At 36.7% G+C, this 27,383-nt stretch overlaps 1 protein-coding gene and 1 long non-coding RNA gene across 8 annotated transcripts in view, besides 1 other annotated feature; both read left to right on the top strand.

Annotated features, from left to right (window-relative positions):
* FHIT (fragile histidine triad diadenosine triphosphatase) overlaps positions 1–27,383 on the top strand; it is a 1,504,176-nt gene that overhangs the window by 882,143 nt on the left and 594,650 nt on the right. The gene's annotated exons all lie outside the window — the stretch shown is intronic.
* Positions 5,454–5,651: a silencer, noted in NCBI's record as "fragment chr3:60349391-60349588 (GRCh37/hg19 assembly coordinates)". NCBI's record gives its function as "represses an EF-1alpha promoter that drives an FKBP-Casp9 reporter gene in an ReSE screen in phorbol 12-myristate 13-acetate-treated (for megakaryocytic differentiation) K562 erythroleukemia cells {active_cell/tissue: K562(+PMA)}" and the evidence as "EXISTENCE:reporter gene assay evidence [ECO:0000049][PMID:32094911]".
* The window catches only part of LOC107986015 (uncharacterized), a 100,472-nt gene continuing 85,646 nt past the window's right edge, over positions 12,558–27,383 (top strand). For both annotated transcript variants that reach the window (XR_007095935.1, XR_001740433.3), the window contains exon 1: positions 12,558–27,383. This exon is cut by the window's right edge and continues 13,185 nt beyond it. This is a non-coding gene — a long non-coding RNA (uncharacterized LOC107986015).

Raw genomic sequence — 27,383 nt, 5'->3', positions numbered from 1 at the left:
AAAAATCAAATAGAAATTCTAGGATCAAAAAGTGCCATGGCTGGGTGTGGTGGCTCATGCCTCTAATTCCAGCACTGTGTGAGGCTGAGGTGGGAGGATTGTTTGATCCTAGAATTCAAGACCAGCCTGGGCAACATGGTGAGAGACCCCCTCTACAAAAAATAAAAAAATTAGCAAGGCGTGTTGGTGCACACCTGTGATTTGAGCTACTCAGGAGGCTGAGGTGGGAGGATTGCTTGAGCCTGGGAGGCTGACACTGCAGTGAGTTCTGAACATGCCACTGCCCTCCAGCCTGGGTGACAGAGTGAGCGGTCTCAGGAAAAAAAAACAAAGAGAAAAGAAAAGTGCCATGATTGAAATATACTGAATGGAGTTAACAGCCAACTAGTCTCTGCATGCTAAAAGGTCAGTGAACTTTGAGCCATATCAATAGAAATTATCTAAACAGGAAAAAAAAGACTAAGAAAAAGAACTATTTTGAGATGTATTACACACTTAAATATAAATGCAAAAACTGTAGAAGTTCTATAACAAATTAGAGAAAAAATATCTTACAGTCTCAGGCAGAGATTTCTTAAAGAGCACACAAAAAGCACTAGCTATAAAAGAAAAAATAAGTTAATAAATTGAACTTCATTAAAATAAAAACCTTCTGATTATCAAAAGACCCAGTTGAGAAAATAAAAAGGCAAGCTACAGACTGGAGGAAAATACTTGAAATATATATATCTGACAAAAGACATGTATGCAGAACATATGTGTGTGTATATATGTATATATATTTCTAAAATGCTTCATAATAACCCAATTTAAGGCAACATAAAAGGTGAAATATTTCAACAGAGTGCCCAAAGAAATAAATATATTTATATATATGTTTTTTCAAATGCCAATAAGTCCATTAAAAGGTGTTCAATATCATTATTTATCATGAAAGTGCACATTCAAAACAGGAATGAGATACCACTGTAGATCCACTTGAAGAGCTAAAATTAAAACATCCAGTGAATAAGATGATGGAATAACAGAAATGCATAAACATAGCTAGTGGGAGTATGAAATGGTACAATCACTTTGGAAAACAGTTCCTCAGTTTCTTTTTTTTTTTTTTTTTAAAAAGATATGTTTTATGATTTTACAGTTCCATTTCCTGGTATTTACCCCTACAAAAGGAAAGTATGTATCCACAGAAGTTTTGCTACACAAATGTTCATAGTCACTTTACTTGTAAAGATTCTAAACTGGAAATAATCCGATAGTCCATCAAAAGCATAGATAAAATGTTGGATTTTCATTTCATGGAATAAAAGATACTTCACCTATAAGAAGAAAAATTTCTAATACCTGTAAGTGCATGGTGGACTTCTCTAAATAGTTGAAAGAAGTTCAACACCAAAGTGTACATACTTTATATTGATTTAAAGAACAGGCAGAACTTATTTTTGGTGATAGAAATCAGAACAGCAGTTTCCATGAAAGTGGTGGAGCTTGACTGCAGGTGAGCACTGGAGAACTTCCTAGAGTGGTAGAAATATTCGATAACTTGATTAGAGCTTTGTATGTGTGTATACATTTGTTAAAATTCATCCACTGTAAAACCTCTATAGGTCATACCATGTAACTTTTGCTTTGTTGTTTTTAAAAATTGGATATTTTTTAAAAACAAGCAGTTAATGAATTAAAATAGCTAATTATGACTTTGCATAATAAATCAAGGCAAATTTGTTCATAAAGGCATCAAGTGTTTCAAATACATCAAATGTATTTTGAGTAAGAACATAATCTGAGAGGGTTTAGTTTGAGATTTTCCCACTTCCTCGTTTTTGAGTAAGAGTTTTCTTAGACTTTCCAACATCTTTAGAAAGGAGCAAAATTAGCAAAAACTCCCGTTTAATAAAAACAGTGCATTCTCTAGAAAATTCACTAAAATGTAATAATCTTTGAATTCTTTTCAGAAAATAATCTAGAGGTACTTTGAGGAGTGTTAGCTATTTGGTCCCAGGGCCTTGGCTCCTGATTGAGAAATAGACCCTGGGATAATTGAAGCCATTCATTTGGGTTTGAATGTCCAGGCAGCATTATTACCTGACTTAATTGAAAGGAACTAATGATAAAACATTAAAAACACTGATCCTCTGAGAATTAAAATCAAAGGGCCAGCCCATTATCTATGAGTATTTAGTATTCTTAGGGGAAGGTTGAGCTCATTTTATAGATTAGTTGAGTATTGATGAGTCTCATTGATAATGGCCTAACACAAAAACCTCTCCTTTTCTTCTTCTTCACTCTCCTCAGAGAACAAATATAATGGGGCAAAGTAGAATCTCAAGTTGAATCTATCAGATGGATATTTTCACTTAGCATAGGTATAGCCTCAACCTATATAAGTTGACAAAATGATTTAATGGGAAGGACATGGGATTAGGAATCAGAGCCTCAGCTAGTCCCTTAGCCTTTCTGACTTTGGTAGGGTTGCTGTCTATAGGATTGTCTTAGTCCATTTTCTGCTGTTGTAAAACAATACCACAGTCTGGGTAATTTATAAAGAAAAGAGATTTATACAGCTCATGATTCTGGAAGCTGCAAAGTCCAAGACCATGATGTCAGCATCTGGTGAGGTTAATCTCATGGCAGGGGAGCGGACGGCAGAAGGGCAAGAGAATGTGAGAGAAAGCTTGCTTTTATAACATAGCCATTCCCAACATCACTAACATACTCCCATGATAAGTGGTAACAGCATTAATCCATTCATGAGGGTAGAGCACCATAACCTAATCACTGTTAGAGGTCCCACCTCCTGTAATTAAATTTCAGTATGAATTTTGGAGGGGATATTCAAAACATAGCAAGGGTCAAATGAGATGGCATGTGAAAAGGGGTTAGCAGGCTGGGCACTGTGCCTCATGCCTATAATCCCAGCACTTTGGGAGGCCAAGGCAGGCGGATCCCTTGAGGTCAGGAGTTTGAGAGCAGCCTGGCCAACATGGTGAAACCCTATCTCTACTACTCATGAGGCTGAGGCAGGAGAATCGCTTGAACCCAGGAGGCAGAGGTTGCATTGAGCTGAGATTGCACCACTGCACTCCAGCCTGGGTGACAGAGTGAGACTCCATCTCAAAAAGGCGGAGGGACTGAACATAGCGCCTTTTTCCTTTTACCAAAATTCAGTTCTATGCAAGAAAGTGATTTGTAGGATTTCTCGAGGACTCATTTTCTGAAAACAAAAATAAATCATGCAAAGCAATACCCATTACTGACAAATATGTACTTGCCATATTATTATAGTCAGGCATATATTTTATTTTGAACACCAGTTGTTTGGTCATTCAATGAAGGCAAAATGATTTCTAAATACTAAGTATGCTTCAAAGAGGCATTAGCATCTATGAATGTTACATGCTGCATGGATCAAGCTGTTTGTTAATCAGGTATATTTTGTTGTTACGTATTTTCATGAGAGGAAGAAAAATGTTCCATAATGAAATCAATTGAGAGCTAACTAAAGTTACTGAACATTCAGAGTCAAATCATTTAAAAACACTAGACCAGGAGTTGACTTTCTGAGAAACCATGTCTTAATAATAAATCTTAAGACGTAACACTGATGTTAAATCATTGAAAATTTTCATAGAAATTTTAGATATTTTGATCTGAAAGAGATGGCTTCCTAAGTTCTAAGAACAGAAGTGGTCTATGACTGTGATACATCCTTCTTTGGAAATAACTAATGAGTTATGAGAACTGAATTATGAAGGAAGAAATATGACTTAACAGAAAAGAAAGTTGTTTTAATGAGTCATTAGGCTATTTAGGTAAGTATGACTCAGTTACTATTTTAATGTAAATATGTGTGGTGTTAAGATCTATTTTAAAACGTGAATTGTGATAGAATTTAAAACTCAGTGAGTATATAATGAACTACTGAAAAACAACTTTCCTTTTTCAAAGGTTTAAGCATGTATTTTTTCAGTAAATCAAGTGATTAAAGGGAACATGTAACCTTACATTCAAAGTATATCTGGTTAACTTGCCTTCCCTCTCCTCCATATGCATTTTTACAAAGAAATAATAAATTTATGTTGAATTTTGATTTTCCAGAAAGATCCCAATTTTAGTGGTCTTAGTATTATATATAATATAGTATTAAATACATATATAATATATACTGTATATATAGGTCTTAGTATTATATATATAATGTTCTGTTTATATGTAATAATATATGAGAGAGAACAGAACCAATAGAATATATATATATATATTCAGATAGATACATACATACAAACATATATATGAAATTGTTTCATGTACTTAAGGAGGCCGAGAAGTCTCATGATCTATTCTCTGAAAGCTGGATAACCAAGAAAGCCTATGGTATGATTTAATCTAATTAGGCCCAAGGTCCAAGAACCAGGAGTGCCAGTGTCCAAAAGCAGGAGAAGGTGAATGTTTCAGCTCAAGCAGAGAGAGTGAATTTTCCCTTCCTCTACCTTTTTGTTCTTTCAGCCCTTCAGTTGATTAAATGATGCCCATCCATATTAGGAAAGGATATCTGTTGTACTCAGTTCACCAATTCAAATGCTATTCTCTTCTGGAAACACCCTCACTGATACACACAGAAATAATGTTTATCAGTTATCTGGGCATCTCTTAGCTCAGTCAAATTGGCACATAGAATGAACCAGCATGTACACATATAGCCTTCTGTGTTGCTCAATGGAATGCCTGTGACATTAATTTCCTGGGTAGAACAGAATAAAGAATATATGTAACAGCAATATATTCATTCAAGCCTTCAGTGATCATTTGTTTTACCTACTGCATACCAGGTACAGTGGTGCATGCTGAGATTTTGCCAGTCTCACATGTATACAGTATAATGTATTGTCTAAGTTGTAGGTGCTTACAGAGTATGATAGAAAAAGCCCATTATTTTGCCCATGGCAAGGAGGGGGTCAAAGGAGGTTTGAATAAAATAACTGCCTTCATAAGTTATAAAGGAGGAGTTAGAATTTTCCAGCAGAAAAAGTGGTGAAGAGCATTTCACTTGAAAGCAGCATGGAGTACACACACACAGAGGTGTAGAAAAGCATGGAATGACTGGAGAACAATTATTTTGTTATTCCTAGACCAAAGGCATTATTAGAAAGGCTGTATCAGAGTTCCAAGAGGGACCAGATGGTACATTCAAATCAGCATATATTAAAGAGTATATTTACAATGGGACTGTTTACAAAGTTGTGGGCTGGGTGCAGGGAAACCACAGATGATGTTATAGTGACTGCATGAGTTACTGGGATGAGTAACGGCAGAGCTGTGACCACCCCTTGACCTAGGGACAAGGGGAGGTAGCAGTTGTGGGAACCTCAAAGGACAGAAGTGTGGAGAAGAGCCTGCCTTTAGAGGATGGTGACCGTCCTTTGAGGAAGCTAGACTGAGGTGACCTTCCAGGAAGGACCAAGAGGAATAAATATCCTGAACTGTTCTTCCCTCCTTCTCATCTCCTGCCTGGAGTCTATCACACAAACTCACTGAAGCCAGGGGGGCCAGGGGGGCCAGGGAAGCTTGTTGGAGTTCACGGAGGCCAGACTCCTGGGGTACAGAGCACAGTGGAGCAGAGTGGGGAGTGATGGGGACAGGAGATACACAGCGCAGAGGCTTTACAGTGACACCATTAAAATTCAGTGGGCTCAAGTTCTAGCTACCACTTATTTTCTAGCTGTATAACCTTGGAAAAATGATGTAACCACTCCACATCTCCAGGTTTACTCACCTGTAAAACAGGGATAGCGGCAGTATACAAGTCAGAGTTGTGGGAATAAATGAGATCCATATAAAGCAATTAATACAGTGTCTGGCATACAGTGCTTAGTTATGTGCTCAATACATTGTAGCCATTACTTGAAATAAAAGAATGATAAGGTGATTAGATTTGTTTTGAAAAGTTAAGCAGTTTTCCGTGTTGCTACAGAGATTCACAAAGATCAAGCAAAATTATAGGTAATTTTTCCTTAAAACTTCATAGGCACACACACACGTCACTTGGAGCTGGGGAGTGATTCAGTGGGGACACAAACTGGGTAGAGCAATGGTAAGGACTGATGTGGGGTTGCCGACCTGGATAGGAGCACCACGAATTTAGAGAAGAAAAGGAGCTTGTTTTCTGCACCTCTTTTTATTTTTATTTTTTGATACCCAACTCTTTGTTGCATACTGCCTTTTTCTTCCCTGGAAACTTTTACCTGTCTCTCATTCAGCTCCTATAATGAACATCCACATTTGAACTTAACAGCGTCTTTCCTTTTCAATTGCTAGATTTACCCAACATGAAGAAATTAAAGGACATTTCCAAAAGGCTGGGGATACCTTCTGAAGTTCTCTGCTGCTTATGGTCATTGTTATGGTGATTTAACTTCTGATTTCTCTGACACGGGCCTTTTTGCCCCTCTTTTTGTTTGGGATTTGTCTGCCGTTTATTGAAGACTCATTTGACTTTTTGTATACTGTACCCTGTTTATCCCTCACTATAACTCTATAAGGAAGGCAATCTGATCCACGTTTTATTGATGAAGAAAATGAGTCAAGGGAAAGTTAATAAAATTGGAGTTACTATTGAATAGGTGAGGTGTTCAGCTCTGTTCACGTAGGTGATAAAAATACAGGACATGTATCTCATGTACATGATAAAAATGTATCTCATGTTTCTCATGTTGATGATTTAATTTGCTGAATGCTTAAGTGGCAGACACTGTGATGGGATAAAGAGGTAACTAACACACTGTCCTTATCCACAATAAGCACACAGCTCATACCTAGTGGTGTCATGCTTGCTAGAAACAAAAAGTGTGGTGAGATAAATTAATTTGTTCTGAAAATGAAATTAAAACAACACATTTTGTTAACCCTCTCCAAAAAAAAATCCGAACAGAAAAGCCTTCATGTTTGATAAGCTTTTAGCTTCTAAGTATTGTATCTCAATATCAACCAGCAGATATATAGGATTACTAAGTTTAAAGATCTAAAATGTATAATGTGAGGACTGGAGTTAATAAAATTGTATTGTATTAGGGATTTTTTTAAGGAAGTAGACTTTAGCTGCTCTTGTCATACACAAGAAATAACCATGTGAGATGATATGTTAATTTGGTTCACTTAGTAACCATTTCACTATCTATATATATTCTATAACATCATGCTATAAACTTCAAATGCACACAATAAAATTATTTTTTTTTAAATCTCAGTATTAAACACTGAGATTTAAGATTGGTGACACCCATGGCAGAAGATGTGTGCACAGTTTGGTTGAGTGACGATGTGATGCTGCACATCTTGAGTTGACTTGTGTCACTTGATTTAAGAAAGGAAGGAGAAAACTTTTTTTGTAAATGAGAGCTGAAGTGGAACAGACTTCTGGATTTGACTTTCTCATGAATGGATTCCCGTGAGATATGAGATAGTACAGCTCACTTCCCTCAAAAAGATTTATCCTCCTTTACTATTGCCCTTTGGTGTTTGTACGAGTCAGGAGAGATATGGTAAGAACTTTTATTTCAAATGGTCTAAGTTCTGTGTTCACTGTCATTGAGGGGTAAAATCTGTCTCTCTCTCTGGCCAGTGGGGTTCTGTGTCTGAAATATTGTATTGCTTTTGTTGTCTTTTGTTTGTTTGATTCTTGAATCTCTACCCCTTTACCTACATAACTGACTCAGTAGTTGCCCAAAGAAACTTGTCACCTGTTGCCATTGCATCTTCTATGAAGAATCCATCCTTTGTTTACTTGCTTGGTCAAAGGAGGGGAGTCTTGCATCCTAGCTAGTCACTCATTTACACACTCACTGCTGCAAGAAATCCATTCAACCTCCTCTACAGTTGGTGGGGGTGTCTTTTACTTATAAAACACAGGATTTTTTTGTGTACGTGCCTTTGAAAAAGAATAGTGCCCTTTTCCATTTTTTTGCCTGACAAACACCTCTCCTCTCTTGAGATGCTGTTCCAATACAGCACCATCTCTGATCTGAGATTTTGTCTCGTTCAACCTATAAAGCGAATTTCTAGTTTCATCTCTTCTTTATAGCATTGTATTATAATCTATCTGTTTACTTCTCCCCACTGGACTTTCAAAGGCATGACTTGCTCATTTTTGCACCTCCAATACATAGCCCAGTACTTGGTATTTGGTGGATATCCAGTAACTGTTTATTGGATGAACGGATGAATATATCACTGAGTAGTAGGAAACAGGGAGCCATCACCAGGATGTATTACACCAGTATTCGAAATAGATAAGCTAAGCAGTGGGAGGTATATGAATTTGTGGGGAGAAAAGTAGGAATCACATGGGTCGGACGGAAGGCTTTTTCAATAATTCAGACTTAGATTTGGGTTGTGGTTGACAAAACAGGGATAAAGAGGTCAAAATGAATCGTGTTGGAGGGATATAACTTGAGCAGACATTTGTTTTGAAGGTGAAGTTGAGGCAGCTATCAGTCAGACATTCCAAGCCTGGGTCAGTGGAGACATGGTGGCTCGATTGATAAGACAGGCTGTTTGAGAAGGGAAGCTTGTGAGAAGATGTTGTGAATTTGGCTTTGGCCATATTGATTTTGAATTAAAGAACAGGTTTATTATGACTTGGTGAAGGGAAGAGAAAAGAATTTGCATGCCTATTAAATATTGCTGCTATTTATTAGTTACCTATTTCATAGGATAGCTATTGTTGCCCTCATTTTGTGGGTGCTCAGAGTGAATCTCAGTGAAGTTATATGCCTTACCCAAGGTCACAGAAAGACAGAATTAAAACCCAGGGCTCTCAGAGTCAAAGACTTGCATTTTTCCATTCTACCATAACATTCTTCTAGGCTGAATGGATCACTTCACTATTTAGTATCTGAACTCTGTGCATTATTGGCCCCAGTGCCTTCTCTCATGTTTTCTCTTTCTTAGCATTATTTTCCTTTTTCCTTGAACCTCCTTAAGTTGCCTTTGTCTTTTATAGTGCCAGCAAATTTGTACCTTCTGGAGGCTTTTCAAGATTGTTTCAGAGTGAGACTCCATCTCAAAAAAAAAAATTTTCTTGCCCCACCCATACTCAGCCTTTGACTCTTTTAGTGTTTAATAGTTTGATTAATTGTTAAGTTGTGGTCATAAATATTAAGATTATGGAGTTTAATATAAGTCCTAAAAAGCTTAGTATTTGAATATAATAGAAATGGTAGATGCACCTAATGGGGAACTTTCAAACCTGCACATTTGTATTCTTTTTCCAAAGCAGGGATCTGTCCTTTCCTTACAGAATGAAAAAAAAAAAAAGAAAAAAAAAAAAAAAGTCTTGAATGTCCTAGTGTTCTAGTGTTTGCATAATTGCTTTTCATCCCTGCTCTCTGCTAATTGCTTTTAAGGATCTCTGCTACATCCTGCATTTCCCATCATTGTTGGATTTTATTGACTTCTCTTAGAAAGCCAGCCTGATATATAAAATTCTATTATCTTGGGACCTTTGCCTGTGATGCTGTTATGCTTTTAGGGAAGACAGTGGTTGGTTCCATGAAAATGGACCTGTCTGGAATACACTGGAATTTCATAATCTATCCAGAAAAAGATAAAGCCCAGATGATAAATACCAGAACCTTTTGCTCCTGTCTCTTTGGCGAAAACAAGTGGTGTTTGGCTTGCTCTGGTGAAGGGGTCATGGGCTGTCACAGAATTCGAAAAAGATATTTTGATATTCAGGCCGGGCACAGTGGCTCACGCCTGTAATCCCAGCACTTTGGGCGGCCAAGGCGGGTGGATCACGAGGTCAAGAGATTGAGACCATCCTGGCCAACATGGTGAAACCCTGTCTCTACTGAAAATACAAAAATTAGCTGGACATGGTGGCACACACCTGTAATCTCAGCTACTTGGGAGGCTGAGGCAGGAGAATCGCTTGAACCCAGGAGGCGGAGGTTGCATTGAGCCAAGATCACACCACTGTACTCCAGCTTGGCGATAGAGCGAGGCTCCATCTCAAAAAAAAAAAAAAAAAAAAAAGATATTTTCATATTCAAGTAATAATATATTTTGGAAATCTAATTTTCTCAGTTTTGTATCCAAATATCATGAAGTCAAGCCAGTCTACTCTGTTCTGTGATGTGGAAAATCTCTGCTGTGTAATTCTCAACCATGACTCTTGGGGAAGGTTTCTTTGTACTGTGGTATAATGCATGTGATTTGGCTCACACTTCTGGAATACCTGCTGTATTCTCAGTGCTGGGCAAGTGCTGATGGGATACCACATCTGACTTAATGAGCTTTTGTTTTATGTCCTGTTGCTTGAACAAGTAGACTACAAGCCCTCAACACCTCCTATAGACAAAGAAAAACAATCTACCATTTATTGAGCATTTACAACACACATTATTTAATATAAATCTTCCATCAATTCTATGAGTTAGTTACCATTATTACTCCATTTTATAGATGAAGACAGTCAGAAAGGAGAAGAATAATTTCCCCAAAGACCTACAACTAGTGAAGACCTGAGCCAGATTATAACCCAGTTCACCTGGCTCCAAAACCAAGACTTTTGATTGATGTGCCATAAATGCAGGGGCTGGCAGAGAAATGGATAAGCACTAGAAAGTATAGACCTACCATGTTGTATCTGTGTTATCAGCCCCTTCTTTACTTAGCAATGTTTATTAGCCTTTCACTATGCTCTTTCTGAAATAAAGCTGATTTTGTTTATGTCAGAACACTATGACCTTAGCTTTTTGACCTAGGCTCACAGTAATATTTGCTCAATGATCATAATTCATTGTGATTTACGTCTTAAGAATATAAGGAACACCTGAGATCTTTGTGCCAAATTCAGAAGGAATAGAGTGGTTTTGTTTTCTTCTTTGCTTTTTTCTTCCTCATCTTCCTTCATTCTGACTGTAGTCCATCCTTGGTTTCAATTCATGGCAAGTTCACAGAACCTAGCAATAGGTTAAGGAAAGGAAACTTCTCAGCCAAATACATCTCTAGTATCAAAATCTCCAAATAGTGGCTGGAAAGGATTGTTCTCTAAAATGAGTTCTGTCTTTAGAATATTTTAATCTATTTTATGTCACAAATATGTATTAAGTGCTTGTTATGTTGAGGGTGCTAGGTGCAGTGAAGAATACCAAGCTAAGTGAAGTGAACTTTGCCTTGAAGAATGATAAGGTGCATTGCCTTCTTTCTCAAAACTTATGTGGTTCTCCAGACAGCTGGAGGATATAATAAAACACAAATTGCTAAGGCCTATCTCCTGAGTTTTGATTCCAGAGGTTTGGGTTGGAGGTCTATAGTTCGAACTTCTAACATGTTCCCAGGTGATGCTGATGCTGCTGTACATAATACAATTATGAGAGTCTTTTATCTACTGGGAGAAGGTCAGTTCTCACCTCTGAGCCAGTATGATGGAGAAGGATGGAATGCTAAAACCATTCTTGAACAACAAGGTAGTCTTATGCAAAGACTATGATGGCCATGTGATTAAGCGTTGTGAAAATTACCAGTAGAACATAGATCAATGCTTTTAAAATATGCTTTGCAATATGTTAAATATGTGTATCAATATGAAAGTATATACTACAGAGAATAATATGCCTAAGTACAACATCCACAGAATATTTTCATGTTGGATTAAGCTTCCTGGCTTTGAGTTAGGGTTGATGTCAATTGATCCTTAAGTAGTGTGTAAAACTTTGTCAAGAAATCATCATTTAATGTGTTGGGACCCATTGAAAGTGATATTGGGCCGGGCGTGGTGGCTCATGCCTGTAATTCCAGCACTTTGGGAGGCTGAGGCAGGTGGATCACCTGAAGTTGGGAGTTTGAGACCAGTCTGACCAACATAGCGAAACCCTGTCTCTACTAAAAATACAAAAAATTAGCCAGGTGTGGTGATGGGTGCCTGTAATCCCAGCTACTCAAGAATGGGTGCCTGTAATCCCAGCTACTCAAGAGGCCGAGGCAGGAGAATCGCTTGAGCTTGAACCTGGAAGGCAGAGGTTGCAGTGAGCCAAGATTATGCCACTGCATACCAGCCTGCGCGACACAGAAAAACTCCATCTCAGAAACAAACAAACAAACAAAAAACAAGTGATCTCCAGTGTTTGCCTGGGGAAGACCTGATTATTTGAAACAATCCGGAGTTTCTTAATCACTTGAGAATGCCTACATAATATTTTAGACAGATCAAAACATATCATGGACCAGAAGATCTCAAGGAAAGAAACGTAATTTGAACTAGAACCTGACTGTATTGTATGGCTCTCCTCAACAATGTGGTTTTTCACCTTATTGTTTTAAGAGCTTCATTGGTTGAATTTGTGCTGATTTCACTAGTTGTTTGGTATTGATCTATGACATGTAAAGCACCTGGCCCAGTTCTAGCCACACATTTGGCATCAAATAGATGTTCTCTGCCTGAAAGATGTGAGCAGAAGACCTAAGAGAAGTATTTGAGGTAGAATTATTATTCCAAGTTTCTGATTCATACAATTTACTCTTTCTTCCGTTTTTTTTTTTTTTTTTTTTTTTTTTTGTCTCTGTCTTCCTGCTATATAATAGCCCATTTTGTTTAATTTTCCGTAGGAAAGAATAGAAGATTTTTGTCAGTCTCAAATCAAGTATCTGGTATTCGGTTTTCTTTTGGTAGCTTCTCCCGAAAGCCTGTTAAAGCTTCTCAATAACTTGTATTGAAATAGATGTTTTATATTTCACGGTGTTCTCATTAAGCTGATGGAGTACTTTCACTCACAGCTTAGAATGGAGTGGCAGGACAATTACCTACACTAGTCTTACATTTTACTGTGGTTATCATATAAGAAAAGAAATCCTTCAAATAATTTGTCCTTTTTGAAAAATTGGCTGTCCATTTTAAGTTCTCCTACATTGTCTGAAGAACATAAAAAATTATGCGATCATGCTCTTCCTCATTGTTGGTTTTGTTGTGCTCAGGAGCCTTGAACTTGGGCAAGTAAAAAAACCACAGTTGAACTCAATCTGTTCTACAATGGAGGATGTGCTTAGTATGGCATGGGAAACTGTTTCAGAAGGCTCTGCTCGGTTACTTTTGCAGCGTTGTTATAGGCTGATACAGCAAATCCCAAGACTTGGTAAATATCCTTCCTGAACAAACACAATTTTAAATACCACTCATAAATGTAACATAAAATTATTTCATGATTATGTATTTTAGTTTCTAATAATTGTCAAGTTCTTTCTCTGGTACAGTGTGAACTACAGTGTTCTTTCATGGCACAGTGCCAGTTATTATTTTTGGATCTCTGAACTCATTGATACAAGCCCTTTACAATTTCCCTTACGCTTCTTGAGTTTGGGTGTTGATTTGATAATGACCCAGTGATTAAACAAAATCATCATAAGGAGACAAAGATAAGGAACAATTTTCACTAAATGGAAGTATTTATGTCATTACCTACTCTCTAAATAAGGTTACAAATACTAGACAAAGGAGGTACACCTGTGAATTACAACATAAAGAGCTTCTGAATTGAAGAGTTACTTCGTTGACATTTGTCATCTATTTGTCAAGATAAATTTAAAAAAAAATTTGTGACAAAAACTGGAAGAATAACCTATTGCTGTTTTGGAAGTAATTTGTTCTATTTGTAGATAGCTGCTGCTGATTGTTTCTTTGCATGTCCATTGAGTTTTAAAATCTATTTCACTTTGACTTCAAATTTAGTTTTTTTAATAGCAATTTTTCATTTCATTTAGGAACATTAAAAATTGTATGCAGCCTTTTGAAATTTTTTAATCATGCAATGTCATTTTCTTGCTTTGCTTTTTTTTTTCTCAAATAAAGCCATCTGTTTAGTAAACATGGAAAATGGATTGATATGCAACCCAAAAAGTTCATAATGACAACTAAATAACAGATGACAGATTAGATAAGAAGAAGTCATTAAGTTGGCCTATAAAAGGACAGCCATCTGTACCACTAAAACAATCTTCCAATTGATGGCAGTAATAATTTTCTGAGTCCATGACAGCTAAGAATTGCTAGAATAAAATGGAAAGCTTGTAAATCGAGAAGTGGAACTTAATTTTGGGTAATTAGCCTAACTATTTTGTTCCAGTGTTACATGACGAGTGGAGGTTACAACAAAATCCTTTGAGAACAAAAAACATTTATTCTGTGTATGCATGTGTGTTTTATCTGACACACAAAATGACTAATTTACCCTTCTTTTGTTTGACTGAATTATTTAAAAATGTAGAGAGTCTAAATCATTGAGGATTAAAAAGATTTATGTTTTAGGATTCTTTAAAGTTCTAGTTTACAGATAACTGATTGATAACTAAAACATAAATTTACTGGAAATGTTTAAGGATAAGTAGTCACAGACTCCCGGAGTGAAAAGGTCCATAGGACTAACTGCCCTGGCTTAGCCAGTCCTGTCCTCAAAGTCAAGTCCAATTTTATGATCCCTAACAAAATACTAAAGAATAACAAGAATAAAGTATACTACTGATTCCCTAAGATAATGGTTTATATTTAGTAGAGTTAAGCAGAATCAGCCATCAGATATTACCAATTGGACCGGCGTACTTTGAGAGAAGCCATATTTGGTGACATTTAAAAATAAGATTGAATTAGTTGGCTTTGATATAGAATTGTTTTTTATATTCACTCTCAGCAGTGAGCTAATCCTCTCAATAACACTAAAATATTTGAACCTTTGCTTTTTAACACGGACTTATTATTAGAATTAAATTTGGGAAAGGTGACTTAACTGGCATTGAATTCTTGTTCTGATAACTACTCTGTATCTGTTTCTTCAGACTGGGTTGGCTTGGGGCTTTTTCGAGAATCATCTTATATCAGAACCTAAGGAGATACTAAACTGAGTCTGTTTTTAGCAGGGTATAGGAATGTATGCCTTCAAATCCTATGCCTTGGATTTTCATTTTTACAAATCTGATGGGCCACATATATGGGTTGGAAAAGTTTAAAATAAGGATAGGAATAATAAAGTAAGTCACTAATCAGTCTGCCTTTCACAGGTAATGACTAATACTATTAATGTGCATACTTTTTTACTATGAGTTTATGTATGCTTTAAAAATAAAATAATTGTATTTTAAACAATTTTGGTGCCATTTTTCATTTAATATGTTACAAGCATGTCATATGTCATAAAAATTAATTATAGCATAGGAGTCTATTGTATCACATACCATTTTTTATATTGCCACTTTTTTATCGTGAGACATTTGGATTCTCCAGCCCATCATCGTGATAGAAAAATCCTACTACATAAGTCTCTGGCCATCTCTTCTTGTTTCCTTAGAGTTCTAAGAAGTAGAATAGATAGGATAAATATATAAAATTTGTTAAGGTTTTGGGGTCATATTACCAAATTTCTCTCTAAAAAAGCTATCAGCTGAACAGGACTGTATGAATGTCAACTTCTTTACACACTTCTTATAAATTTTTAAAAATTACTGCAATTTTGAAAGTGTGTCTGTCTCATTTTAACTTGATTTTTGCTTGAGATTGACTTTTTTACAGATTTGTTTTTCAGCCACTCAAATACTTCTGGGAATTGGCTATTCTGTATCATTTCTAAAGAGTTGGCTTTATTTAATGTTATTAATTTGTAACTTTTTCTAACAAAAGCTCTATGTTTGCATAGATGTTTAAAAAAATAAAAAATCTCACTTTTTTGTTTGATTAAGGCTACTATGCCAAGCAGTATTCATGCTTAATTTGTTGTCTAAATTGATTAGACAAAGAAGAGTAATTCAGGTTTAGACTCACCAGCAGAAGGAGATGTAGGGAACACCTGGTACTGAGGTTCAGGTTCTGTGTGCCCTGAGGGAAGGTAAGAAATTCCCTTTGGCAGTTTTCACTCTTAAGCCTTTTTAGTAGACCCTCTACTGGGCAGAGCACTTGATATGTAGTATACTTTGTATAGTGCATAATAATCACCTAAGCAGTTAAACTTTTACCAACCAGGCCTGGGCATCTTACAGAAAAAGAGAAGCAGCACCCCACTTTTTTTAATGTTTTAGGGCCGATGGAAGAGGTAGTTAGAGAAGCAGTGGAGGATTCAGCTTCATGGTAAATGGGTCTGAATTTTTGGCTTTCAGAAGGAATTAGGTTAAGTCTGAAGAAGGGGTCATAGTTGAAGTTGGTAAAATAATATTAAGATCACCTTGAAATTTTTTTAGGAAAAATGATTTCAAATTTATCTTGTTAAACTGTTGAAATAAATGTTAAGAACTGATCTCCAAACAAATCAATTGATCAACTGAAAGTGAATGCCATCCAGTGAGCCACCTGTTTTGCTTTAAGGAATTGATCTCCAAGGGAGGTATAAATGTAGGACTGAATCCCCCACACTGAGAATGCGAGGCCACTCTGACCAGAGGGAGCTCCTAGGTAAGAGCTCCCCTATTTCCTGGCACCTGACAAAACTGGGTAAGTAGGACTCTGATAAGAAATGCTTTTAGGTCAGGTATGGTGCATTGAGCCTGTAAACCCAGTGACCTGTGAGGCTGAGGTTGGGAGGATCACTTGAAGCTAGGAGTTTGAGATCAGCCTAGGCAACATAGCAAGACCCTTCCTCTAAAAGTATGAATAAAAATTTTAAAAAATTACCTGACTGTGGTGGTGGACAACTGCAATCTCAGCTACTCAGTAGCCTGAGGCCGGAGGATCACATGAACCTAGGAGTTGAAGGCTGCGGTAAGCTGTCATTGCACCACTGTACTTTAGCCTGAATGACAGAGTAAGACTCCATCTCTTAAAAAAAAATTTTAAAAAAGAAATGCTTTTAGAAAAAGCATAGCTTTTTGTATTAAATATGAGTTAATATACACATGCTGCTTGAAGCAAGATATGAAAGAATTTGACATCTGGGTATAGTGAGTACCTGTGATATTTCTTTCAATTTTAACATGTGTTGAGTTGTACAATTCTTAGTTTCGTATTGTTTTGTATGAATCTTTTACCTTTAAAGGAACCTGTTTTAGGCTCACCACTGACAGACTGAGTGCTTAAAATCTCCTAGCATATTTTTGTCTGCATCATCCAAGCTTATTGTTGCCTCATAATTAAGTTGCTTCTCTTGGCTCTTATGCAGCCTCTAGTAAAATAACTCACTTATTTTCTCTGCACTTAGTATTTATTGAGGGCCTTCTATGAGCAAGGCATGCTCCTCAGTGCTGGAAATACAAAAATGAGAGCCATGGTTTCTTATCTTAAGTAGCAATTAATTACTCCAGTGGATAAGACAGTCACCGGAAGAGCTAATTACGATACAGGGCAAGAAGTGAAATGATGGAGATTGCACAGGATGTTAGCAAGCTATAAGGAGGAACAAACTTATCAAAGAAGGCTTCTTCAGGGTAAGAGCTAGCTAATTAAATCTTTAGAGGGCACAGGGGTTAGCCAGGTCTAGGACTGAGAAGGAAGGGCATGGTTTCTGCATGGGTCTATAAGTGATTTTGTTGTGTTAGGAAATAAGATATGAGCAGAGAATGACAAAGATGACTGACTGGTTTCCTTGCGAGCTGAGTACTAGACTATTAGATTCTCTAGATTTTCACAAGGCCCCAGGGCAAGTAGTAATAGGAGGATTCTATAGGAATGTTTATCTTGCTTTCCTCACCACATCATGGTGGTGTTTGCAGCATTTTACAGGTATTATCAGTTAGCTCATCCTTTGCTTTTATCTGTAGTGATAGCAAATTTTTATGATGCAACTTAGAAGTATTACAGGTAATAACTCCTTCACCATAGTCTCCATTTCCCTGACCCTGCTCTTGACTACCTCTGTTGCATATATCATTAGACAAAATTATAAGTCAAAGGAAGAAAATGTGCCTTTCTCATTTTCTGCATATAAAGTTACACCAGACCTCTCTTTCCACTATGCCCATCAACTGTAGAACTCAAGGTATTGGGCTGCTGTGAGATGAGGTGGCTTGCGTCTGAGTGTAATTCAATGTATTGCTTCCTTCATTGAGAAAGTACTATTACAAAAAATAAATATCAGTCAAACTAAACAATGTGCCTAGTGATACAGTTAATTAACATTAAGGGGTAGGCCCCTTGTATTAGTTTGCTGTCGCTATATAACAAATTACTCCAAATTTAGTGGTGCTAAGATAACACACCTTTATTATCTCATAGTTCATGTGAGTCAGAAGTTCAGACATGGGTTAATGGCTTTTTTTTGCTTCAGTGTCCTACCAGGCTGCAATATAGCTTTTGGCTGGGGCTGTGGTCTCATCAGCTGCTTGACTGGGAAGGGATCTACTTCCAAGCTCCCTCAGGTTGTTGACAGACTTCGTTTCTTTGTGGCTGTAGGATTCATGACAGTTTGCTTCTTCAAAGCCAACAAGGGAGAGAGACTCTCGAGTGAGTTTGCTAGCAAGATGGAGTTTTACATAACATAATCATAGCAGTAACATTCTATCATCTTTGCATTTCTTTTGGTTGGAAGCAAATCACTGACACTGTTCACACTCAAGAGAGGAGATTACACACAAGAGCATGAATACAGGGGGCTGGATCATGGAGTTTACCTGTTCATCACGCTTATCTTAGACCAAAAAAGAAAAAAATAGGTTTTGGAGTGGCAATATTCCATAGCCATACTTTAAGTAGCACTGTTGGTGGAATACAGGGAGGAAGGAGGGAGAAGAAATGGGAGGAAGTCACCTCTTACTTGTTTTTAGCTTCCTGGACCAGGAACAAAGGTGACATCATCTTTGGGAAAGCACAAATGCTTAAACATGTGTCTTATTTGTTCTACATAATGGTTTTAAAAATTGTGACGTTACGTACAATTTTGGAGATAATATGTAGAAATTGCTATTTGTGGTTCCATTTAATATGTATATATAAAATCATGGGAGTTTGGAGCTCTACCCTTCTACATGGCAAATATTGGTTAGAGATTAGTAGCTGAAACCCACTTTTAGTTGGGATATGGGCTTGCCAGTTCAGTGCCATCTCCACTACTCAGAAGCCAAGTACACATGTACACTATTACCAAGTTTTCCCTGCTTGCTTACTATACCTGCCCTGGCTTCTTCAGGCATCTGAGTTGGGAGTCTCCAGGACCCTCAGTTCCCCAGTTGCAACTGACATTATTATTTTAACTGTGGTGCTTGATCCTTTCACTCCTGATGTAGGTATGGGAGTGTGTACTGTAATAATCTGTTAATTTTATTTCTGCAGAACCTAGTCATTACTTACAGCATTTCTGGTGAGTGGCTCCTACACCAATACCAATTGTCTTCTATTGTTTTATCAAACTAATGATCTCCACTGCCTTAATTTTAGCTGTTCCAGCCAGATAGACAAGAGAATGAATCAGGAAATTCTAACTGCTTGAGAAAACAGATGTCAACATAACTAGGTTTTACCCTCATGGAGTTGACAGTCTGGAAGGGGCTATGTGATGTTAGTTATAAATATGATAATCATATATGATTTACGGTAAGTTACCTTATGAATTCAGCAATGGAACTGGCTTTCCAACATTTTTAAAATTGTGATTTCTTTAGAAAATTTTGTCCAAGTTGTGTAAAATTTAAAAGGAAATATTGATCTTTGAATTGCTTTTTCTCAGGAAGCTATGTTTGCTGAAGTCCTTATATATACGTTTATTAATAAACAGTTTATCTTTGGAGGCTTGTATATTTTTGGAGTTTAGTACCTTCTGAAAAACTTAGACTTACAATGAATCTTTTGGAATATGTTTGCTTATCAATTATATATTTAAAAAATAGAGAGTAAACTCCTTAATTGTAGGGATTGGTCTGATTATTACCTTTTAGGCAAAATAGCAAGCATTCCAGAAAACATCTGGAAATCCAAATTGTTTATATTCGTCCACGTGGTAAGCATTAAGACATAATAGTTTTAATTTCTTTTATGTAATGCACTATGTGTCTGTCCTTCTCACAAAATCCGTAAACAGCTTGAAATCATGGAATCTTCTCAGTACCTAGAACAGAGGTTGACACTTGGTGGCTTGTGAGCTGAATTCAGCAGTAGATGTATTGTTGAGTAAGCTTCCAGCACTTCAAAATTCAGACTGTGCATACAAATTTAATTTTGTCTTTTCTCTTTTAAAAAATAGAAAATGAATAATTTTTTATTAGTTACTTTAATAAAACCCAGTACTACTTTGATTTTATGCAACCTGATGTTCTATTTGGAGAATAATCTTACTGCAAAGTACAAAGCTTATATGTGAATCTGTTGGATGTCAAGTAGTGCCATACTACACATGTTTATTTCTCTTATACCTACAATCAGCTGGGGTCACCTAGGCAAATGTGCTGAGGTTGGCTAAGTTCAATCACATGTCAGGGTTAGCTGGCTGGGCAATGATCTAGGCTGTTCTTGGCTGAATGACTTAGCTCCGCTCTAAATATTTTGTATCCGCCAGCAGGCTATCCCTGGCATGTTCTAATGCTGATGGCAAATAGGAAGAGCACAAAGAGAAATACACAAAGCCTTTTCAAGTCTCTTTCCAAGTCCATTTGCTGATATCACATTGGCCAAGTCAAGTTACATGGCTAAGCCAAGCATCCAAAGGTGAGTCAGGATGCAGAGTGGGAAGACATTGCAAATTACATGGGGCCATTTTTGCTCTCTGCCACAAGAGCTGTGGTCTAGGTGCCTGTGACTTATTGCCAAGTCCCAGGTATACTTACACATGTGTGTGTCTTACCTTGTATTTCTTAGAATTATAAATCTAAGCTCTTTCAAAAAAGGAAAGTTAATAAATAAATGGCAATCTCTATTCCTTTAGTGGTTTTTATTTTGTTCTACATGTTAATTTTCTTTGTGAAAAAAAAACCCAAAAATAAAATCCTTAGTTTTAATATAAACTCTATGATCTTGGTTAAAAAAAATTTGACACTGCTATTTGTGAAAAGATTTCAACATTATTGAACATATATACAAGCTGTTTATTATTTTGCTTACAGGTGGAAATACTGGGTTTAAAAATTGATAAAGCAGCAATAATTAACAACCTAATCTAAAAACTCTCCTTTGCTAAGTAATTGCTTTTTTCATTCATTTATTCATCCATTGATTTGTTAAACAAACATTTGTCAATTCTTAGGTGTGGTTAGATAATTACAAATAGACACAATTTTTTTTTCAGTATACTTTTTGCCCTTACAGGATTATTCATGTTACTAATTTACCATGAATTTCTTTTTAAAATGAAAGGGTAGGCCAGGTGTGGTGGCTCACACCTGTAATCCCAGAACTTTGGGAGGCTAAGGAGGGTGGATCAACTGAGGTGAGGAGTTTGAGACCAGCCTGGCCAACATGGTGAAACCTCGTCTTTAGTAAAAATGCAAAAATTAGCCGGGCATGGTGGTGGGCGCCTGTAATCCCAGCTACTTGGGAGGCTGAGGCAGGAGAATCGCTTGAACCCAGGAGGGGGAGGTTGCAGTGAGCCAAGATCGTGCTATTGCACTCCAGCCTGGGCAACAAGAGCGAGACTTTGTCTCAAAAAAAAATGAAAAGATAGGCATGCTTGGGGTTTGGGGCAAATAACACAAAAGTGTGTACAAAACAAAACAAAACAAAAAACAAACCCCCCCCCCCCCCAAACCAGTGGTGATCTGAAGACAGGATTGAATGTTTTCAATTTTGCTTCCAAGTGGAGAATCATCTCGGGGCTGTAGAATGAATTTTCCTTCTTAAGACACATTTTCCTGTACCTACAGGCGTTTGCATCTACAATAACTATTGATGTGAGAGTGTTACAGTTTTGTTTTAGTAAATTGCATGAGTAATCGTCCCCCCAGCACTTGCTAAGTTGATGCTTCCTTTTTTAATGGCTGTAATGTATTTGTAAACATGTCTCTTAACTTACTTGAAAACATGTTGGTTCCATCTCATTTATTTGCAGACAACTTACTGTCTGTTGAAACTTCAGCTTCTTTTATTCTAATGACTCCTTTGAAATATTATTTTAATGAACCTATGAAACACATCATTGTATTCTTTATATTGTGGTTGGACTGCTAATGAGACTCATCCATTAAGTAAATGGCTTTGTAGACAATGCAAATGTAATAACTAAAGTTAGTCTATTCTTCTTTACTACTTTTCTGCTGATAGGCATACCACATACCGAGAAGGTAATGTTTCACGACCAAAACAGTTCAGTTGGTAGGCAGATTGGGAATCTTTGCATTGGAAAAAAAAAATTCAAGAATATCATAAAAGTATATTTGCAACTCCATCTATTTTTTATCAAATCATAAGATAATATATTTCCCATGTAAGCATTATATTTCTAGATGATACGCCTGATAGAAGAAATTAAGTGTCCATATGATCTACAGGAAAAAATCTTTAAGGTAATAAATTTTAAAAATCTATTTTAAAACATAAAATTTCTAAGAAAGCAACATCCATAAAATGGATTGCTACAGAAACCTAAATTCAGGTCCTTTTCATATTGACTTCATTATGGACTTGAATTTTTCTGCCTTAATAAAAGGATGTAGGTCTCAAAACTCATCTTGCACATCTTGTTTTAATGCAATTTAGTTGCAACTGTTGCAGAGCTTTGTTCCTTAGTTCAGCTAAAACTGGGTTCTTGTCACACCACCAGGAAAAGTTAGGCATGGAGACAGTTTGAAGGATGAGGGGAATGGAATTTATTTGGCGAAAAGGAAAAAAGAAAACAAACTCTCAGCAAAGCGTGGGGGATTCCTGCTAACAGGTCCTCATCTCATAGATCGATTCCAGGCCACACAGATGAGCTGAAGAGCACAGGCTCCTCCCCTGGGTAAGGTGCAAATTCCCTGTGGCTCCACCCACTTCCCTCAGTGCACATATCTGGCTCCAGTCTGCTTTGGGCATGTCCAGTTGACAAGAGCTGTCATTATTAGCATTATTTATTTTCACATTTATAATTGAATGGTTTTATAGGCTTGTGACTTCAGATCAGTGAAAACAGAAAGATATCCTTACCATGTTGTTATTTTTCCACTACTCTTATAGGTAGCAAAAGCTGGCTAAGCTGGTAGAATTTCTAGGTTTCCAATGCTGTAAAGAGCACTAGCCTCTCTAATAATAAAAATATTAATTGATGGACATTGCGTGAGGACTCTCTAAGGAGTCACTGTGTATTTGGGCGCAGACATGGGCAAATGTTGGCAGGGAACACACTCTGCTTCCCTAGCCAGGACTTTCTCTATTACGTTAAACCAGTTGCCCTTGGGATTGATGGTGGAAATGAAATCTTAAAAGGAAGAATAGATAAGACCAAGCTTTGCAGAGCAACAAAGGTGAAAAACTATCCTTAGTTGTGGAAGTGATTTTCCTATCAATAAATTACCAATGCATCTTCAAGTAAGAAATGTTAGCTTAAATACAAATTAATAGAATGCATCTGTGTGTATATACAAATATGTTAGTAACTGTGAAACCAGGTGTTTCTTATAATTGATAGCATGTCATAGTTTTCAAAAAGACATTTTCTTTCTTAAAGTGCATAAAATAATGGTAGGTCTTACTACTGATGTCATTCAAGATTCAATAAACTGTTGTAATTTAGGAATTTAGCACTGTGTTCCTATTAAAAGGTCCATAATGGAAGGTAAAGATGGTGTTTCTATCTTGAGACGATAGTCTACTTTCATGATTTTGACAATGGAAACAATGCCATCTTTTAGTCACAAACTGGATTTGGTAGATCATTCTAGGTTCTCGTTCTAGTCTACAATTGGTTTTCTGAAATCTAATAATTTATCCATTCTCTGTGAGCTTGAAAAGCAAGGAGAGTATCCACATAGGTCCAAGCCATCATGAATACTTAGTTCTCCTCCTAGTTGAACAGTGTGATTGTAGGTATTTAACAATAGCAGGAATTGGTAAAGAAGCTTATTCCTGGCTATGAGATTCCTTGACAGTAAGCTGTAGACCAGGAAGGTCAGTAGTTCTCATGCTGTCTCTAATTGATGAGTTAGTGTTACCTGGTGTGCTGTGTTGGAACTCACTGTGAGGCCCTGCCCAGCTTCAACAGGGACCTGTAGTAAGATCCAGGGGAATACTTGTCATGGACACGTACTGGATGTCCCTAATAGGAGGACAACATATATCATCTCTGTTGTACACACTTAGTAATTTGTTCATTACCAGTATGACACAAATGATTTAAAATTTGTGAAGTATGGGGAAAAGGGATTAGGATGTTCCTAATCTTAAATAAAGCATATGATTTTCATAAAGTTTACTTTAAAGCAATTTATAGTGTTTATACAAAGGGAAATTTGCTAATGACATTGCCTTAAGTAACATCTGGGATTTGTTTTGAAATAGTTTTGTGAGTGATAGTGGAGGTATAAATGATTCATTATATCATTCTATGTCTTTGAAATTTTTTATGATAAAAAGAAAAAATCTTAAAATGTAGACTTTTATGATATCTTGGCTAATAAAATTCTTTGAAGTGGGTGATGGACTGATTTGATACCAGTTTCCAAAGAGTGTTAGAATACAGTTTTCGTGTGGCTTATTTTTCAATTAGAAAAAAAAATCTTGAAAGATACTTATAAATCTAGCTTTATTAACTTTCCTGACAAACCCTAAAAGTCAACACGTTATCTTCTAACAAGTTTGGAGGCGTCTCTAAAATACAGCCTGTAGCTATTTATGTAGTTTCTCCTCACTGTTCCTCCTCCAGTGTTTGCCTTTTATGGCCTCAAGAGAGAGCATAATCTGAAATAATTTCTAGGATGCAAACACATTGCTGAAGATATGGGCTCATGGAATGTGTTCTCTGTAGTACTGACACGAGTGACTTTTCTCAATCTGTTTCCAACATGAGGCAAGAATCTTCAGTTGAAATATGGAGAAAATAGATACAAAATACAAGTATTTCTATGCATTAGCTGCCTAATGTTCACTCTTCTAGATTGCTATTCATATTCTCTTTGTTGGACGCATCTCAGTCTGCTCCCTGAGTTGTCCCTAGTTGTCATCAAACAAAAACAGCAATATTGAAAACAGTAAAAATGTAAATGCAAGACAGAGAATGGAGAAGTATTAGCTGTTTCCAATCAAATGCTACCCATCAGTAAAATATAGAAAATACACTTCACTGAAGACCTTTTTGAAATAATGATTAATTACTTTTTAAAGGAATTATTCTAGAGATATGCTAAGCTACTCAGCAGTAATTTAAAGTTGGCAACCTGTTAACAGATCCCCGTCTGTTCCACTGAGGTCGGCCAGCTTCTGTTGGATAACTGTAGTCATAGAGTTTGAAAGCAAAGTGCAAAATGCCATCCTTAAAATTGGAGCTGTTGCATTAAATTATGTCACATTTGATGACAGGTCACAAGAGAAAGTGATACATGATTTTTACAACATGAGCCACCAAAAGCATGCTTCATGGAATTCTAGTAGTCCACCACTGTTGGGAAAGAAGTTAGTTTCTGTCAAAAATTAAGACAGTCCAGGGCTTTTAAAGGAGAAGTAAAGACAGAAAGGGATGGTTTAATCTCTTGTTGTGGACAGATGTATCCACAGTGCATCAGAATGTGGGTGGAGGAAAGAGGTATTCTACTATAGATAGTGATATTAGTCTTACCAATTTAAAATTGCAGCCTAGACTATCATCTTAAAAATGAAACATTATTAATTAGGTTTCAAAGGGCATGATGGCAAAGCGTAGTGGAAAATTTGGGGTGGTATTAGTAGCATATCTGGGGAAAGTGGTGTTAGGAATATTTAATACACCACCTTTCCTCATCTTTAATACACCACCTTTCTTCATCATACCTACATAGACTTGGTACAGGTAAAAATCTAATCAAACAACGGAGTGAATAGATATGAGCTATACTTAAATAGCTGGACCTCTTCCTTTTGATTGCCTGCTGCCTCCCTATAGTTCTATCTTAGAGACTGCTAGGGAGTGTTTTAATCAGGCTTTTGATTAGATAAGTCCATTGCTTCATTCCTCTGCCCTGTCTCTTCCCCCATTCCCTACACTTGCAGAATTGCAGGCAGCTTTCAGAATCTCAGTAGATTCTACAAAGTAGAAATCTCCTCCAAAATATTAGTATTGGTCTACTAGGCACCCTCACACAGGGCAATTTATGTTGACTTATTCTGTAGTTTTTTTAGTATATTGATTTACATTTTGAAAGAATGTATAGAAGGTATAATTCATTATTAAAAACCAGGATATGCAAAAAGAAGATCCCTGGGGTGTAACTATCAGTTGTTATTGTAAACAAATCGCTATAGACTCTAATTTTTTATTTAGAGGACATCAGTCCTGTCTTCATGTGAGAAGACAATATGGCTGAGTTTACTAATATAATTTCTGTGCCAAAATTAGCTGTGGATTAGAGTGATGACAAATTCCTTGGGAAGGTTGGATGAGAGATCCTCTATGATAGAACTTGCTTAAAAAGCCAGTAAATGTGAGCAGATTTCCAATTTTTGCTCCAATACTTTTACCTTCTGCATTTGTAATCACTCTTTATAATTCTCAACTTTCAGTATCTCCAGACAATATTTTTCCTTCCATTGAGTCTTAGTTAAACATCTTACTTCTCTTTCAAAGCCAAAATCTTGTTGGGCTCAAAGTTTTTTCTCTTTCTGTGTTCCATGTTGCTTTTAAGTCTTCATGCTTTACTTGAGGGAATGGGCCAACTCATAGTTTTACAGAATTATGTAAATCATCTTGCTGTTGATCAGAAGAGAAGAATATTCAATCTATTAAAAGCTTCACAATAATGTGAATGTATTTAAAGACACAAACTGTATATTTAAACATTAAAATGGTAAATTTTATGTTAAATAGGTTTTATCACAGTAATCTTTTTAAAATCAGAATTTGGTGTCCAAACACAAAACATTCATAAACCTAGGATGAGAATCTCAGACCCTGTGTTATATCTGCCACACTATGGAACCTAGCAGTCTATTCAGTGACTTTTAAATCCTATTGAGTGATCAGCTGCCTGATATGCTATGCAAAGAGCTCTCTCTGCTCCTTAAACATTGCTCATGCAATTGTGTATTCAATAACTACTTACTGATAGATGCAGGATGCAGATAAAAGGAGGGTCCTGGAGAATCTCTGACCCACCCTCACATTATTGGGAGAACAGGGTGAAGCCAGGGGAAGTTCACCTCCTGTGCAGTGGGGAGGAGCCTGGCATCTTCAGGTCCTGTGTATGGCTTGGAATTCAATGTGTGAGGTGATGGCCTGTTAGCAGGATCCCCTCTTGCTTTGCTGAGAGTTTTTTTTCTTTTTTCTTTTTCACCCAATAAATTCCAATTCCCTTACCCTTCAATGTGTCCACGTTTCTAATCCTCGCTGGTC

Source organism: Homo sapiens, chromosome 3 (assembly GCF_000001405.40).
Source record: "Homo sapiens chromosome 3, GRCh38.p14 Primary Assembly".
In the NCBI taxonomy this organism is placed as follows: Eukaryota; Metazoa; Chordata; class Mammalia; order Primates; family Hominidae; genus Homo; species Homo sapiens.
This window is presented reverse-complemented; position numbering and strand designations above follow the sequence as displayed.